The sequence below is a fragment of the Homo sapiens genome, chromosome 7 (assembly GCF_000001405.40).
Source record: "Homo sapiens chromosome 7, GRCh38.p14 Primary Assembly".
Taxonomy (NCBI): domain Eukaryota; kingdom Metazoa; phylum Chordata; class Mammalia; order Primates; family Hominidae; genus Homo; species Homo sapiens.
Window position 1 is genome coordinate 12,946,206 of NC_000007.14, and position 18,467 is coordinate 12,964,672.

Below are 18,467 nucleotides of genomic sequence, written 5' to 3' on the forward strand. Positions count from 1 at the left end.
GGTTCTTTAATTTGTTTTTAAAATTCCTTTGGAAGACCAGTATCCTTGGGAAAGTTAAAACTCAGGAGTGGTGAATTCTATAAAGAAGCAATTGTGTAGGTATCCCTAAATAATTTCATGTTTCTCACAAAAAAATTAGCCAGGGGGGCACCTGTAATCCCAGCTACTCAGGAGGCTGAGGCAGGAAAATCGCTTGAACCAGGGAGGTGGGTGTTGCAGGGAATTGAGATCGCACCATTGCACTCCAGGCTGGGCGACAAGAATGAGACTCAGTCTCAAAATAGTGATAATAATAATAATAATAATTTCATGTTTCTGTAAGATTCTCCAATCATTTACCAGTTAGAGCATTTAAGGATTATTTTAAATTTAAGAAGTCTTAATATATTTTAGCTTTATCTTAGTTGAATAATTTTCATTGCCTTTTTATTTTCTTGCAGGGTACAGATTTTTTTTTTTTTTTTTTTTTTTTTTTTTTTTTTTGAGACGGAGTCTCCCTCTGTCACCCAGGCTGGAGTGCAGTGGCGCGGTCTCTGCTTACTGCAACCTCCGCCTCCCAGGTTCATGCCATTCTCCTGCCTCAGCCTCCCGAGTAGCTGAGACTGCAGGCGCCTGCCACCATGCCTGGCTAATTTTTTTAAATTTTTTTAGTAGAGACGGGGTTTCACTGTGTTAGCCAGGATGGTCTCGATCTCCTGACCTTGTGATCCGCCTCGGCCTCCCAAAGTGCTGGGATTACAGGTGTGAGTCACTGTGCCCGGCCTCTTGCAGGGTACAGATATTTAAAATATTAACTTATTTTAATCTGTCAGTGATGTCTTTATACAGTTTTTTCTTTTGCTGACAAAATAATAATTTGTTTCCAGATATGATAAACAGCCTGTAAATTTCTCTGACCTTCAAAATTTTTCTTGAACTTTTAACTCTACCTGGGGTGTATTTGGTTTGATTTTCAAGATACATTTCCAAGTTTTCTTTCCGAATTGCTATTTAGTTACTCTGTTTCCATTAGTTATTATCTTTAAAATAATCCTTTTAATTCTCTTGTTTTACAAACATAGGGATGTTATTAGAGTTTATATTTCTGGAAATTAAACATGACATACATACTCAATAATAAATAATGTACATGTAAGTATGTATTGTACTACTAATCCAAAATCCTGTTTAAGGAAATTTTGAAGTGACAGGTACATTCATCTTTAATCTCTCTACCCTGCCACTATCCTTTAGAAGTTAATTATCCTCTTATTTTTAAAATAATTTTGTCAATATTTTTCAGTTTTGCAATTTTTTTAGAAATTTACATAAATACAGTAGTAATATGTGTTATGTTGTCATACGTTTTTTACACATTATTTTTATAAGAGTCTTCTATGTGATAAGGAAAGTTGTAGTTCACTAATTTTCAGTGTTCTTTAAAATTGTATTGCATGAATGATACCAAAATATGCTTACTCATTTCCATGTCTATGGACATTAGCTTTGTTTTCAGGATTTTGCATTCGTATAATGCTGCTATGAATGTTATCCCTCCAATAACGTTTTTAGACATGTGGAACTCTTTCTTGGCTTTTCGTTTGTTCACATATCCATATTTTTATGTTATGCTTATATTGAATACCAAGAGGCGTTTTGAAGACAACTAGAATAGTTTAAGATACATTCTTATAACCTATATGACATTATATTAAATTCCATTTAAAACCGTAGCATAAGAAGCATTGTATCTGGCACAAAAATACAAAGGGATTTTGTTTACTGAGAGACAAGATAAACTATATACTAGAACTAAAAGCTCTATAAAATATTTAATGAAAAATTCTGTAGTAATTTTATGTGAGGTTTTTTAAACAATTTAATTTATCTTTTCTGGCTTTTTTTTCTTTTTTCTTTTCCTCCTTTTAAAAACTTTTTAAATTATTTTTTATTTTTATTAGGGACAGGGTCTTGCTTTGTTACCTGGGGTAGTCTAGTCTCAAGCTCTTGGCTTCAAGCCATCCTCCTGCCTTGGCTTTCAATGTGTTGGGATTACAGGCGTGAGCCACCACGCCCAACCTGATTTATCTTTTCTGAATTGATAGCTGGGTGCCAATAATAAACTTTAGAGTATAAATCTCTGATGAAAATCAAGACCTGATTACCAGTTTTTTATTCCTTGCTTTTTTTTCTTAGAGACTGATATTAGCTTGAGATATCCACCTCCCAAAGTCATCAGTAATGCAATAACGCTTTAAAATCATTTTCCTCTTTGCAATGTCACGTTGTTTTCCTAGTACCTTTCATTAGTGAAGTTACATAGCTCACTCCATAACAAAGGCAAGACTGAGGCAGAGTGATGTTCCATGGCTAAATAGTAAATCTGCAGTATAGTTTGGAAAAATGTTTGTATTTTTGAAGCTAGATTTTAAATAATCGATTATTGATATTGGAATGTGAAGGAAAAAGCAGATTGGCATATTTATTGCATACCATTTCCCAATGGAAATAAGGTATAGATTAATAATATAGCATAATCAGTAAATAAGTAGACAAATGTTAGAAGAGACAGTTTATACATAGGAAATGATCGTATGAATCTGTAGGTTAAGAGCATGGATTTTGGCCAGTTTTACCGCAGATGAGCCCTGACTCTTTGCTTACAGACTGTGTAAAGTTGGGCAAATTACAAAGTCACTCTGGACTAAGTTGCTTCAGCTATGAAGTGGGAATAAAAGTAGAACCCACTTCATATAGTTGTTGCAGGATTAAGTGAGATTATATCCCAAAATCCTCATTGTTATGTCTGAAATCTGTAAGTACTAAACACATGTTAACTTTTATTAAGAGGATTTCTAGGAAAAGTGCCATCCCCTTGTGAAGTGTAGTGAAAATGGGACACTCCTATATTACTATATCAGTGAAAATTGATCTGTTCCTTTTGGAAAAATCATGGCATTAACTTTCAAAAGACATAAAATTGTTAAGTGGCCTTTTTTTCCCCTAAAACAATACCTGTAGACAATAGCTCTACAGATAACATCAGCTGCATGCAAATTTTCCAGTTTTAAGGTCTGCCAATTTAAGGTTCTCTCCTTATCAGAGTGCTAGATAGAAACTGAAAGAGCCAATAATAAATCTGTTTAACTGGATAAAATGATTTGTAACCATTAAACAATGACTATGAAGATGATGATAAGACATAAAAATGCTTACAGCAGAAGTGAAAAAAATCAGGTAAGAAATTTGTGTGTGTGTGTGTGTACTATGTAAAAACATTGCACTAGAAGGGACCGTGGTGTCCTGTTTACACAGTGCCTGTGAATAAGCATTGATAGGGAATTACAGTGGCAGCCCACTGACTTAAGTCAAAGCATTCTTCGCATCTAATAAAAACAAGTGCAGTATCTTGCATCACCTCCTGTGAGTTTCTTATTACTTTTAGAAGTAGCAAGTGAAAATTTCCCAAGGGCCTAATTTAGTTCACATTAACTCAGCTTTAACTCTTCTCATAGCTATCCCAGTCAGCGCTCATTCTTTGTGTATTTATCTACATGTTTCATCAAGCATGTGGCGGTAACAAGTTAAATATAAAGTCCTCCAAAGAAAAAAATAAAGAGATGTCAATATGTAAGTGTCCTTTCTGAGCAGCACAGCTTCATAATTGTGCACTGAGTACAAAGAGATTCTGTCTTGTCTTTAAACTGGTCAGCAGCCAGACAAACTTGTCTTTATATAACAGGATTAATGGTAGGACTACAAGTACAAACCCAGTTTGTGGGTCCAAACAAGCTATGAGTTTGCAAAGATGCAAAGACATGAGAATGAGCTTGCTGGTGATATTCAGAGTCCAGCAGTAAAATGACAGATGATATTACATGTAGTTAGAATCCCTATGCCCCAAAACTCCAAACTTCTTTTTTCTCCGTAGAAAATAAAGCTTTATAAGGAATATAATTTGTGAGAGATATGTATATATGTGTGTATATATACACATATGTACACAAACACATGTAGATACACATACAAGGACTACATATATATATATATATGTATATATATAATACAAAGCCTGTATGGACTTGCTTCGTTTCATCTTCTAATTCAGACTGTCTTTCTTTTCTCCACCAAAAAGTATAGGTCACTAATGTGGATTATATGTACTGAATGATTTTTCAGTTGGCAGTGTCTAAAGATATTATTCAATCACACAATAAACCTTTACACTGTAATAGTGCTACATTCTGTGATTACACAAAGGTGTGTAGAAGATGGAATGGTACACAGGTAATACCTTCTAATGTAATGCAGAACTCTATATATTATCAACTAAAGATGTTGATGTACACGTATTAAATGTAAAGATGTGATTGACAGCAAAAGTCAGTTTTTAGTTCACTTAAAAAATAAAACCAAATGTATATCATTGTAGTTAAATGTTTGTTATTTGTATATGATAGCTGCTATAATATATAAAATGGTTCATGTTACCAAAGGAAAAAATATTGCACTTTAATTTATTCTTGTCATTCTTCCTGTCTGCAAATATGGTCCCATTTACTTCACATGCTGTAGACTATGGAGGAATCTGAAATAGATACTAAAAAGAGTCAAATACTGCTAATGAAAAAGTATTGTCACCAAGTGTGTAAGGATGATGCCTGGCAGAGTCTTGGACTATATTTATAAAGAAACCATTTGAAGAGTCTGTCAGTTGTGCCACAACAGGTCCCCAAAACAACAGGAAAATTAGTTATCTCCAGCTCCACTTTCCAGTGCTTGTTTATAAGAAATTTATGGTAGCAGAAAATAATTGGAAATAACTGACCACATATTTTCAGTTCATTCACTTGGCATTTGTACCTATAAAGTAAAAATAATTTAAAATTGCTAAATCATTATTTTATCTAAAAAGTTTATTAAAGGAAATCTGTTTCAATATACGGTCAAATATGTCAAAAGACTGTCAAATTTATTTGTCCAACATGCATTAAGACCTGTGTTGTTCTTGGCACTGGTCTCAGACCTAGGGTTAAATAAAAATAAGAAATTATCTCTTCTTCAGAAACTTACAAGCTACTATGACTTTATGAAATATAATTCTATATTAAAGAATTTATCTAGCCGGGCGTTGTGGCTCATGCCTGTAATCCCAGCACTTTGGGAGGCTGAGGCGGGCGGATCACGAGGTCAGGAGTTCAAGACCATCCTGGCTAACATGGTGAAGCCTCATTTCTACTAAAACTACAAAAAATTAGCCGGGAGTGGTGGCGGGTGCCTGTAATCCCAGCTACTTGGGAGGCAAAGCAGGAGAATCGCTTGAACCCGGGATTGCGCCATTGCACTCCAGCCTGGGTGACAGAGCAAGAATTTATCTTCTAATTAATTTAGCAAACATTTTAAAAGAATAGTATTTTAGCTTCTTTCTGTTTTTCTCTCCACAAGCAATCACATTTCTCTTGGCACTTACTCACACCGTATGTTGAGAAGATGACTGGATAAGAAAGTGAGTCATTTAAACAAACAAAGCTTCAGTTGTAAGTCACAGATGTCAAATCAAGAAGGTAATTCTGAGAAAAGTTGAAGGCTAAAGAAGAACTAACAGAAGAATTCAGTTTTCCTGATTTTCCTATTATTTGGGATATGGCCTAGGTCATGAAAATAAATCCAGGGTTGGCAAGGCAACAAATAAAAGCACATTTTTTTGGGTAACATTAGAGTCAAAAGTAAAATAAGAATTTGTAAATAGCAACTTAGATGATCTGAGTTACCCCAGCTGGTATGTGGGAATAACCATATACATGCACAAATGTGGCATTCTCTGAATATTATGAGGGCATGTATATTTTTGAAGACATATCTGTTATCCGTATTACTAAAATTTGCCTGTTAGACTCCAATTACAATTGTCGGCTGCCGCTTCACCAACAGCTCAAATAGATGAGAGCTACACAAAACATGCTACTTACTTAACCACAATTTACCTGTCTTGCCTTGTCTTATTGGTGTTGTCTTTTTAAATAAAAATAGAGCAATACTTACAGGTAACATGCCAACATTTTCACTCGATATAACTCTTCTGTGGTGATGAAAATTTAATATAGGTATGATTATTTTAATGCTTTGTTCACACATATGACGTGGGATCAATTATTATATAGACGTTTACCTATGGTTTAGAATAGTTCTATCAGATAAAACCAAATACAGAAGGAACAATTTGGGAATAAATGAGATCATTGTCATCGGACACATTCAATGTTGTGGCCATGTATTCTCTTTCCCCCACTTTTCCTCACAAGTCTGGATTTATCATGAGGAATCCGTATAGTTCTAGAAAAGCTGACTTAAATCCTGTTCTGAGAGTAGGAGCACATGATCAAGGCTACATCAGTAGGTGATTCAGCCCCTGGGCCACATTCAGTGGTTCTTGAGTGAGCATGTGATTTAAGGTAGCATATCCTAGCAAAGTTGGGCCTTTGCTTGGGTTGTCAGGACAGAGTTCTTCCTGTAAGTGAAGAAGGTGGCATGTGACCCTGGGGGCTGTTGGCTCTTTTCTAACCATGAGAGGGGTTGCCTTTAGGAGGATTTAACATCATGAAGGACCCAATAGAGACATGGATAGAAGGTAGACCATAATGGCCTTTTTTGCCATTCAATTAAGACTTCCTTGAAATTGATTCTACTTCTGAACTTTAGCATCGCGAACCAATAAATTACTTTTATTATTTAAGTTAATTTTAAGTTGAGTTTCTCTTAGATGCACTTAAAAAGCTCTTTAATGGATACATTCAAACATATGCTGAGTAATATCATTAAAGACATGATAGCAAAGGGATTCAGACTGTAGACTAGTAGTTGAACTGGATGATCTTTAAGAATACTTTCAACCTTGCAATTTTAATATGAGATGAATCCAGATTTCTGTACTCCATTACCGCCTCATGGGCCTAAAAATATTAATAAGATCTTCTAAAGCCCTATATTTGCTATAAACAATGTGTATTTCAGTACACAAACGTTAGGACTATACAGTTCTCAGCTTAGTTTCATTATTGTGAAATGGTTACATTTTATTGTTCCCATTAATCTAAAATGGTCCTTGAATAATTCTAATTAGAACACATTTTTCTGAGCATGATTATTTTCTAAAACAGTCAGTGTCTAGAGCAGAAGAGCAAGATTTGGCAGAGACCTAACGTGAGATGTAGGCAACACAGGGCTTAGCCAAGTTTTTGCCTTTATATGTTGCTCCTTCTTATTTGTTGAAAAAGAAGGCTGGATATATCATTTTTGATCTAAGTACTAAATATCTCTGCTAAACAGGAACACATCTTTCTCTCTGGAATGAAATTTTGGATTGAAGTTTATTGTAATCCAACCATCTTCAAATAGTGTCCTACATTGAAATTGATATAAAATATGGGAAGTCTGAATGCACCTGGGAATCTTACAGAATAAAGTAATACATGAAGACCACCTCCAGGATTGACTAAAGTCACATCTCTGTGGTGTCACGAGCCAAATTGACTACTTTCTCTATGAAAAAAAGGATTCATCTAGATCCTGGAGATAACCAGAATACAGAGCACAGTGGTGCCTTCTTAGTCTGTTGCCATCTAATAGGAGGTTGGATTATTCCTGGCATTTAAAAGAAAAAGTCTAATTCCAGGAGTGGGTCATCACCTGAGCTTGTCTGGATGATTTCCAGAGCAGGATACTTGTCTTACAAAGAATGCCTGTTATCTTCTTCCTGGAAAAAGTGTTTTGGAGCTTCACATACTTGGCTAATGCACCTCCATTCCCTTTGAGCATATGTACTTTTCTTCTGTGGATGGTGGCATTTTTCCCTCATTAATTGTATGTTTGTTTTCAGTCTTCCAGAGCAAAAGGAATTACCTAAAAACATATTCAGTATTTACATGTATTTCAGTAAGGTCTTTAGTGCTTTTTAAAATATTTTAAACCTCTTTTAGAAATAGAATATTTTGTCTAGTTTTTGCGCTTCATCAATGTGAGTCTGGAGGAGTAAGGGCTGGATTTGGGGAGATGAGTTAATAAACTTCATAGTGCCACTGATGCCAGGCCTGGATTCTCAAAAGTAGAGTTTCATGTAGTTCTCAAGAGTGTAAGTTATTCTACTCTGACAACCCCCAAAATCATTTTAAATAGTTTCTCAACACCTCTTTTATTTAGTACTTTATTCATTTTCTATAAATAGTTTAAAGACATTAGTAGCATTTACTGTTGTTATTTTATGTTGTTTTATATACACATTGAGAGAACAGAATGGGACCATATTTTAGGTTAAAATTCAGTCTGCAGGCAAAGGCTTCTACTTCTGTATGAAATACACTGGAAAATTTAATCTGAGGAAATTGCTTATGTCAGCAGCTGTCACAAAATGTGTGGCCTGCTTTGGAATCTGGAGTAGCTGACATACTGAAATACTATTTCTTTTTTATGAGGAAATAAGAATATCAGTGGAATCTGTTTTCTTTGAAGTGCTTCAGCCATTTTATTTCTAATTTCAGATGTCAGCAGCCTGTTTGGGATGACTAAATGAGGCAGAGAATATTCCAGTGAGCCCTTAATATCTGAGGTATTCCCCAGATATTTTTTAAGCATAGCTGGGTGGGGAACATCCATTCATTATGCCAGATGCCATAATGTTCAGAGGGAAAACATGCTCCAGGCTTCTGTGAAGGTTACATAGGTTTTCCACAAAATGATTTATTGATGGTTTCCTGGAAGGAACATGGACTCTTCACTCCATCACCTGACACTCCACACCATTTTCCCCAAGCTACACCCTATGCAAGACTAGCCCTTCTCAGTTTTCCCAATGTGTCATTTTCTCCCATTCCTCAAATAGCTTAGGAATCTTCATTTCTGGAAGAAGGCTTTCCTGATTAAAAATTGTTAACTATGCAAGGGATGTTTTCCTACAAATGCAGAGGCCTAGACTTCCAAAGTGTACCTGTAATTTTGTTTTTACATAATAGATCGTTTTAATTTATATATCTCTTTAAATTATTGACCATGTATGTACACTTTGCATAGCTGGTCATCTTGTGTGTCTTCTGAATTAAAAAATAACAGTGCAATGAGATGGACCTTGGGATGGAAATTAGAGGATAACCTAGCTTTTGATCCACTTTATGTCCTAAGCTCACAGCAGAGTGGCCAACAGTAGGCTGTGTTTTGGCAGCTCTAGAAGAGTCTGATATTGTAACTGCTAAGAATACAGGCTTATTAATACCATATACAAGAATTTTAGTGACTTCAGGTATGTTTCTTACACATCACGCCACTTTACTGATCTGTAAAAAGTACGGTATGGTGCCTTCTTCAGAGGATTTTTGTGATGTTAAATGGAAACAATGCACATAAAGTACTTAGCATAATGTTGACTATTATTAATACGGTTATCCAACCTCGAGTCAGTGAAAAAATCTCCTCAAACTACGTCACAGTCATCAGTATAAGAAAGTAAATGTCACGAGGTTGCAGGAAAGATTAAAAAAAACAATGACAGGCCGGGCGCGGTGGCTCATGCCTGTAATCCAGCACTTTGGGAGGCCGAGGCAGGCAGATCACAAGGTCAAGAGATCGAGACCATCCTGGCCAACATGGTGAAACCCCCTTGTCTATTAAAAATACAAAAATTAGCTGGGCGTGGTGGCATGCGCCTGTAGTCCCAGCTACTTCGGAGGCTGAGGCAGGAGAATCACTTTAACCTAGAAGGCAGAGGTTGCAGTGAGCAGAGATCACGCCACTGCACTCCAGCCTGGCAACAGAGTGAGACTCCATCTCAAAAAATAAATAAATAAATAAATAAATAAATAAATAAATAAGCAATGACATGAACAAGAGTCACTTTTCTTCGAAAAAAACTAAAAAAAAAAAAAAGAAAATGTTGGAATAGCCCGGGCTATTGGTAGTTCACGCCTGTAATTCTAGCACTTCGGGAGGCTCAGGTAGGTAGATCCTTTGGGCCCAGGAGTTCAAGACCAGCCTGGCCAACATGGCAAAACTCCGTCTCTACAAAAAATACAAAAATTAACCAGGAGTGTTGGCGGGTGCCTGTAGTCCCAGCTACTTGCAGGGGCTGAGGCATAAGAATCACTTGAACCTGGGAGGTTGAAGCTGCAGTGAGCTGAGATCATGCCACTGCACTTCATCCTGGGTGACAGAAGGAGACCATCTGAGAAAAAAAGAAAAAAAAGAAGATGTGCGGAGTAGATGTACATATGTGCACCCATATGATATCTGTGATTACTGTGTGATAAATCAATATTTTTAAAGCATGATGATCCTTATGAAAATACTTTGTAAAATATAAAATGATACATAAGTAATCAGCGTTGTTTTTATTATTTTCACATTCACCATTACCATTCCCAACAAAAAGAACCCCATGACATGGGGTAAGAAGATCAGGTACAATAAAAGGCAGAATCCATAGAGGGAGAGTTTCAAAAAATAAAATAAAAGCAGTTATTTAATATTATCCGAGACATTAAGTAATCTGAGAACAAAAACGTTGATTTCATTATGAAAATATTTGTTCATTTTTATGAGACTTTTGAATAGACTCTATAAGATAAAGTATTCTTAGATATCATGAGTAAAATGAGACATGAGAAATTGTTTCAAATGGTAAAATAGTATTGAAAAGTGAGATGGCAAAAAAAAAAAAGAGGGAAAACATAAAAATCTGTGAAAATAATTCCTCCAAGCTTTATTATTTTAGAAAGAATAAAGGGATGTATTTTTTTGTTCCCCACAAGTATTCCTGATCATGTGTCATCTATGTTCGAAAACAGGGCAAGAAAGGTGAGATGGAAATGAGAATAATAAGTGATGTGAAAGAAAGGTACTGTCCTTAGGGTGCCTACACATAAAAATCTGAGAATTAAGAAAAACTTTTTTCTTTAAAAGGGTAAAAAAACAAGTGGGTGTTGGGAAGAAGAAAGAAAGAAGGAAAAAAGGTGAGTATCAGGGAGGAAGAAGGAAAGTTAGAAGGAAGAATGGAATCAAACCTTACAGTGTTGAGTAAAAAACCAATCTGATAAAGCTAACATAGGAGTTTGAAAGGGAAAAGGATAGGCTGTTTCCTTTATAAAATGAAATGGGAAATGGATGAAGCAAATGTTCATATAAGCAATGTCAGCATTCCATTTGCCTTCTCAGACTCAAAATTCCCGTTGCAGTATAAAAATCTCTAAATATATTTTACTGTCTACATGCAAGAACATTGGTTAGTTTCACACTTTATCTGAGAAAGATGCATATCTTTCATGACATCAGTTAATTTGCAGTTGAACATTTTAATTCGATAATCATTTCTTAAAGTTGTTCTGCACCAAACACTGTTCAAGACAGTCATACACTGACTGATAAGAAATAGAACAGAAGATTGACAGAATCTGCCTGGTCTTGTGCAGCCCAAGTGCCTAGAGGGAGGGCCAGGGTGTGGACTACTGATTTCATGATGGGAAGGGGGTGATAAACGCCATCACAGCAGCACTAGCTGGAGTAATAAAAGCACAGTGTAGAATGAGGGTAATTCTGCCTGCTCATGAGTTTTTCGCACAGGCTCCTTGCGAAACTACACCAAACTCATTTTTCTTCTAGGACAGAATTTCAATCAACTGGAGCTGAGAGTTTATCTTTGGTTCAGAATGCATTTCTCCCCGCCTCCTTTTTTTTTTTTTTTTTCCCCAAAATAGAGGTGCTCTGATGCTAAAGACTGTTTTTCATACAGAAGTCCCATATCCCCAGCTTTTAGCCTTGAATTAAGAAACACTTGTAAAGATGATCGGTTTGAAGCAAAATGAAATCTAAGTATTCAACCACTCATTCTTCAGTTATTTCCACTTGCATTGATTGAACTGATTAAGATTGCCCCCGTCATTGCACGTAAGTGAAGGTAGTGCAGAGATTTCCCAGCGTTTTCTTTTTTTCTTTTTAATTGTAATAAATATCACTTATTCTTATTACTATAGTATTACCATTTTTCACAGTTTATCAACCTGGAGGTCACCCTGACTGTTTAAATCCAGAGTGTCATCAAATTAATGAATTCCATGGTAATTCACAAAATGATAGCGCATCTCACTCCCAAAGATGTCTTGTATTTGATGACATAGGTATTTTTAATCCTCCATCCGGAGAAATGGGATCTGAAAGGCCAGGACCCCCCAACTAAAGAATTCTGAGGAAGAGAGGGCTGGGGCCAGAGAAGGGTTCCCTGCAGAGGCTTAGAGAAGTGCCACAGCAGTCTCAGGCCCCACAATTCTGGGAAGGACTCTATAATCTTGTTCTGTGCTGATCTAGCCTGGCCTGGGTTTGTTGCTTGCTATGACCCTCAAAGCCTGAATCACCCCAAAGCAGATGAGCCAGCATCCTTAATGAGATTTATGGGGACTCCAGGGCACTTGAGGTGTGAGTCTCAGTCCACCTGTAGTGTGGACCTGGGCAGGTAGCTTGATCTCTGCCAGCCTCAGTGGGCTGACCCGTAGCTTAGCTCTCATTTATAAGCGAGAATAAGTAGTAGTTGATTTTCCATTCCTGAGTTGTTTCACTTAGAATAATGGCCTCCAGATCCATCCAAGTTCCTGAAAATATATTATTTTATTCTCTTTTATGGCTGAGTAATATTCCATGGTGTAGATATACTACATTTTCTTTATCCACTCACTCATTGATCAGTGGGCACTGAGGTGGTTTTTGTATCTTTGCCATTGTGAATTGTGCTGCCATAAACATACACGTGCAGGTGTCTTTTTGATATAATGACTTATTTTCCTTTGGATAGATACCCAGAAGTGGGATTGCTGGATCGAATGGTATATTAACTTTTAGTTCTTTAAGAAATCTCCATAATGTTTTCCATAGAGGTTGTAATAATATACATTCTCACCTGCAGTGTATAAGCCTTCCATTTTCATGACATCCATTCCAACATCTGTTGTTTTTGACTTTTAAATAATAGCTATTCTGGCTTGGGTAAGGTTTCACTGTGGTTTAATTTGCATTTCTCTAATGATTAGTGATGCTGAGCATATTTTTTGTGTGTTTATTGGCCGTTCATGTATCTTCTTCCAAGAAATGTCAATTCATGTCATTTGCCCACTTTTTGATAAGATTATTTTTTTTTTCTTGCTGATTTGTTTGAGTTCCTTCTAGACTCTGGATACTAGTTGTCAGAGGCATAGTTTGCAAATATTTTTTCCCATTCCGTGAATTGTCTGTTTACTCTGCTGATTATTATTTTGCTGTGCAGAAGCTTTTTAGTTTAATTAGGTCCCATTTATTTATTTATATTTTGGTTGCATTTGCTTTTGGGGTCTTAGTCCTTAGTTCATTGCCTAAGCCAATGTCTGGAAGAGTTTTTCCTAAATTTTCTTCTAGAATTTTTATGGCTTCAAGTCATATATTTAAGTCTTAATCCACCTTAAGTTGATTTTTTATATGAGGTTAGAGATAGGGATCCAGTTTTATTCTTCTACATGTAGCTATCCAGTTTCCCCAGAATGATTTATTGAATAAGGTGTCCTTTTCCCAGTTTATATTGTTGTATGTTTTGTGAAAGATCAGTTTGTTTTAAGTATTTGCCTTTATTTCTGTACCACTGGTATATGTATCTACTTTTGTACCAGTATTCCTCCTGTTTGGTGTATGTACTCAAGGAAAAGCATTTTTTTGGTTCATTCAAAAATAGGGCACAATTTATATTTTCTATATGATATTCTCTGCTTAGAATTCGCAGTGACCAGCAAATAGAGTGTATTTGCCTCAAGCAATATTGTAGACATAGCACTCTTACATATTTATTGTGCTTTGGGTGAATAGTCATTACACAGGGAGAATGTCAAAGAAATCATTATATAAAACATGGGGCCAGGCGCGGTGGCTCATGCCTGTAATCCCAGCACTTTGGGAGGTTGAGGTGGGTGGATCACGAGGTCAGGAGTTCGAGACCAGTGTTGCCAGTATGGTAAAACCCTGTCTCTACTAAAAATACAAAAATTAGCTGGGTGTGGTGACACGCACCTGTAGTCCCAGCTACTTGGAAGGCTGAGGCAGGAGAATCGCTTGAACCCAGGAGGTGGAGGTGGCAGTGAGCTGAGATTGCGCCCCTGCACTCCAGCCTGGGTGACAGAGCAAGACTCCGTCTCAAACAAAAAAATCAACCAACCAGCCAAACAAAAAAACAAACAAACAAAACCATAGTGTAACTTTTCAAGAGCCATTATAATGAAAAGTTGAAAACTGACCAGTTATTGTGTGTATGTCTATTTATACATCTATACATTTGCCTACATTTATATAAACTGTGGTGCAGAATGTAGAATACGAAATCCATGTTCACATGAAAACTGTAAAATAACAAATTTCAAGCTTTGTAATAGTTCGCTTCAGCATGGACCATTCACTGCCATGTGGTGTATTTAATCTCCTCTACAGAACTTCAGAATGCTCCACTGTGATAAAAATTTTTGAGAAAAATTGTACAGCCCAATGCTTGATCCTGCCACTTTAGAGAGAGTTTTGCCTCCACGCTTCACATTTTCTCTAACTTTTCTGACATCTTCTGTATTTAGAGAAAGGAGATGAGATGTGGAGAGAGAAAACAACAGTGAGAAAATTAAAGTTGTTGGCTGCGATCCTGTCTTATGTTTTGAGAATCTGACACCAAAGAAACCTGAGAACATAGTTAAAAAGAAAATTAAACAAAATTAATTAACAAGTATTCACCAACCAAAACCTCTGCTATGTTATTATGGATTAAAAATGAGCGCTTTTCCAAGAAAAAAAATCCATTCTCATAGAATTGGCAAGAAATATTTTATATGTAGGAAAGATCGAAAAAGTGATTACTATTCCCCATATTAAGGAATTTCCTTAGGACCAACATCTTCTTCTAAGTGACTTATTAAAAGGGAAAGCTTTTCTAGTTGAAAAAAAGTTTCTGGATTTCAAATTCCATGCACTATGCCTTGCAGAATAATGGGGAACCAGACAGACACTGTAAGCAGAAAACAAATGAAAGAATCACAGATAAGGGACAGGAAAGCCCACAATTCTTGGAGTAAGCAGTTTATATATTTTTACTTCAGAGAAAAGGGCAAGGGAGCCTATTAATAAAATTCTGACATATTGGTAATGTCGGTTACCAGCTAAAATAATGGTTTTATGTAATTATGTGGTTTTAGTTATCTATTTTTAAAAAGAAAACTTGCATTCATAACATATGTGGTAATGAAGAAATTATGGAGATAAAGCCATTTCCATGTTGCTTACTGTATTCAAACCCAGAGAAGCACAGTGTGATAATCAGTTAATTTATAATTTTATTAAACATCTAAAAACTCTATTTGAATTGTTGAAAATTTATTTTGAAACAACACAGTTCTCAAGAGTTTCTCAAGGTATTTGTTTTGATATTAGCCTTCGTTTGGCTAAACTGAAAAAGCCAAATAAAAACACTAAAGGCAAATTAATATGCATTATTGTCACACTGAAATATCATATGTACCAATTAGTTTATATTTATTCACTACTAGGTAAAAAAGACCAGTGCAGTTAATCTATTAATGACACTATTTTAATTCTATAGGTATAGATAAACACTTTAGGATCTTCTGATCTAAAAGTATTTTGAAATCATATCAGAGTGTGCTTGTTACTTGAGGTTTCTGAAACAATTGAATTGAACGTGGATATTTTAGCTTTTAAAATCACAGATTTGCAAAGCATGCTATTTATAGGATTCCTAAATAAATAGGACAAGATGCAGAGCAAAATGCTTAACCATAATTTTAGGTGCAGCTAACAAAGGAAAGGAAAAGTACTTAGAGAGGAGAGAAAACCTTCCCATTATAGTTCATGGAAAGATTATTTGCTTATCATTGTCCCACATGCCTAGCTTTAGCCTTGTGATCTGCCCAAGGCAGCTAATCACTTTCACTCTAGTAAGCTGGCGGCAGGCTGGCCTTAGAGGAGTTTGTTCTAAGACCTTCCCCCTCAGAGAAACCAGAGAGAGAGAGAAAAAAAAGCACATCATTTAATAATTAAGAACCCAATGAACATGCCAACGTGAATTTCTATCACATTGCCTTTTTTCTTTATCCATTGATTCATTCATGCAACATATAATACTAATGGCTACTAATATTAATGTTAGGTAATGTCCTTTTTTTTTGGAGGAGAGGAAGATCTGAGGCAGACGGATCATTTAGAAAGCTGTTTTTGTGCTATGTTTGGGTCTGCAGATACAGGGGCAATTGTTGAAATACTATTGTAAGGCAGAAACTGTAAAAATGTGATGATGAAATTTCTGTTCTGGATTCATTGATGGTAGTCACTGGAATAGCATCAGGTAGAAACATGCCTGGTAACAAAGCTCAGGAGAAAGAGTAGGCATGGAGAGAAAGTTTAAAATTGTCTATCATCTTTAATATTAATATTTATATGAGTAATATTTAATATACTATTTATATTTAATGTTTATGGAGCTTTTACTATGTTGTAAGCTTATGATAAGCACTTTACATGAATTCTCTCACTTAAACCTTGCAAGAGGTCTATGAGTTACTTACTGTTCTCATCCTTCTTTTATAAATGTGATCTTCCAGCTAGCAGAGAGATTCTAAACCAGGTCTGACTTTCCAATTTCAACATCTGTGTTTGAATCTCAAATGTTATATGGTACCCTGCCTTTGCATTGTCAGTGTCCAACATCCATATCTACTTAGTGAATGACTGATTACATATTAACATTTGTGCAGCAGGACAGCCTGAAAGTGCAAACAGCATGTCTAAAGAAAGAAAAGCATAGGGAGCCAAAGGATTTTAATTGTTGAAAAAAAAATTCAATTGAAAACATTTTAATTGTTGAAAAAACTCTGAAATTATAAAGATTAATTGAGAAGTTTTTAAAAATGACTAAGCATAGTAATAAAAGGTTTAGAATGATTCAGTAGTTTCTGGGGCTATAGGGGAGGGCGAGAGAGAGAGATGCCATAAATTTTAGGAAAGTTTCTATTTCTGGCCTGAACTGTATACATTTGTACAGGTAGGATAATTCAGTAGGTTTGGAATTTATTTCATGTTTCCATGGGTAAATTGTTCTCATTTGAGGAACATCAAGGTATTTGTAGCTGATTTTTTTGTGGGTACCAACGGTAATTTCTACTCACAGTTAATGTTGTTGAACATCCACTCTGCAAGATCGTATAGCACATTCTGTGGAAGGTATAAAGTACATATATAAGACAGTTCTCTACTCAAGAAACTTTATCTGGGAGTTGGGGAGGCAGGATGGAAACATCATTACCTTCAAGACCTACCATGATCTTGCCCCCCACTGTCCCAGTTCCCTCCCCACTTCCCTCACCTTGCCCCACCCACACTGACATCCATAAGACATTGCACACACTTGCCTCTGAGGCTTTTTTTCTTGGCGGGGGAGGGGAGGTTGCATTTGCTCTTTCTCCTCTGGGGTTTCTCCTTTCAAGACATCATTCCCTCACTTCCCTCAGGGTTCTGCTCAAATATCAAGAAATTAGTAGGGGCTCCTTTGACTCCATAATATAAAATATGCAGATATACCTCATTCCACTTACCCTGTTTATTTTTCTCTATGACACTTACAATAATCAATTTATACATACTTACACAACTTACGCATCTGATGTACTTATTTATTGTTTACCAGCTGTCTCTGGCCACTAGTCTGTGAGTTGTTTGAGGGGAAGAACATTGTCCATTTTGTTTGTGTCTGTATCCTCAGCAGCTAGAACAATGCCAGCCACGTGATAGGGACTTCATAAGTACTTACTAAGTGAACGAAGGAAGGAACTTATTAATGAAGATACATATAACTGCACAAGAGCCAAATTGTTGATAAAGGTAATAATCACTGGGAAATTCATAGGAAATTCTTGGGTATACACATTTCCCCAAATTTTACAGGGTGAAAACTACTCAAGGAGAGATACTCTGTCTCTTAAATATTATATCTATAAGGAGTGTTATGCCTGGAGGACTACTTAATATATTGCAAGTTTTGATACATATTTTTGGAGAAGTTATGTTTCCAAGAGGAGATGTATCTTTATCAGGAGTTTAAAAATTAGAATTTACACGAATGGCAAGTAGAAGAAATGAGATCAACCTCCCACATGCAGTTTTCATGACATGGTGTTGGAGGATGCTGGCAAGAGCTGAAACTTAAGGTAAAAAAGTAGACACTTGGGAATTCGCAATACATAGTTTATGTGCTAATATTCCCAGAGTTTTGGGGATTTGTGGTTGTCATTAATTTATTTATATCTCAAATATTTATTGGGCACATGTTGTTTGCCCAGAATTCTTCTAGGGGCAGAGGACACAGCAGTGACTAAACAGAATAAACCTCTGCCCTTATGTAGCTGACATAGTTTGAGGAAGCAAAATATATGGCATATTCTATCTAT

The 18,467-nt window shown here is 36.0% G+C and overlaps 1 long non-coding RNA gene across 1 annotated transcript in view, besides 1 other annotated feature; it reads left to right on the forward strand.

Moving 5' to 3' along the window:
* LOC105375158 (uncharacterized) overlaps positions 1–18,467 on the forward strand; it is a 130,320-nt gene that overhangs the window by 14,528 nt on the left and 97,325 nt on the right. The window lies entirely within an intron of this gene.
* Positions 3,099–3,393: a silencer, noted in NCBI's record as "tiled region #6845; HepG2 Repressive non-DNase unmatched - State 7:EnhWF, and K562 Repressive non-DNase unmatched - State 7:EnhWF". NCBI's record gives its function as "represses a minimal TATA promoter and a strong SV40 promoter by Sharpr-MPRA in HepG2 and K562 cells {active_cell/tissue: HepG2 | K562}" and the evidence as "EXISTENCE:reporter gene assay evidence [ECO:0000049][PMID:27701403]".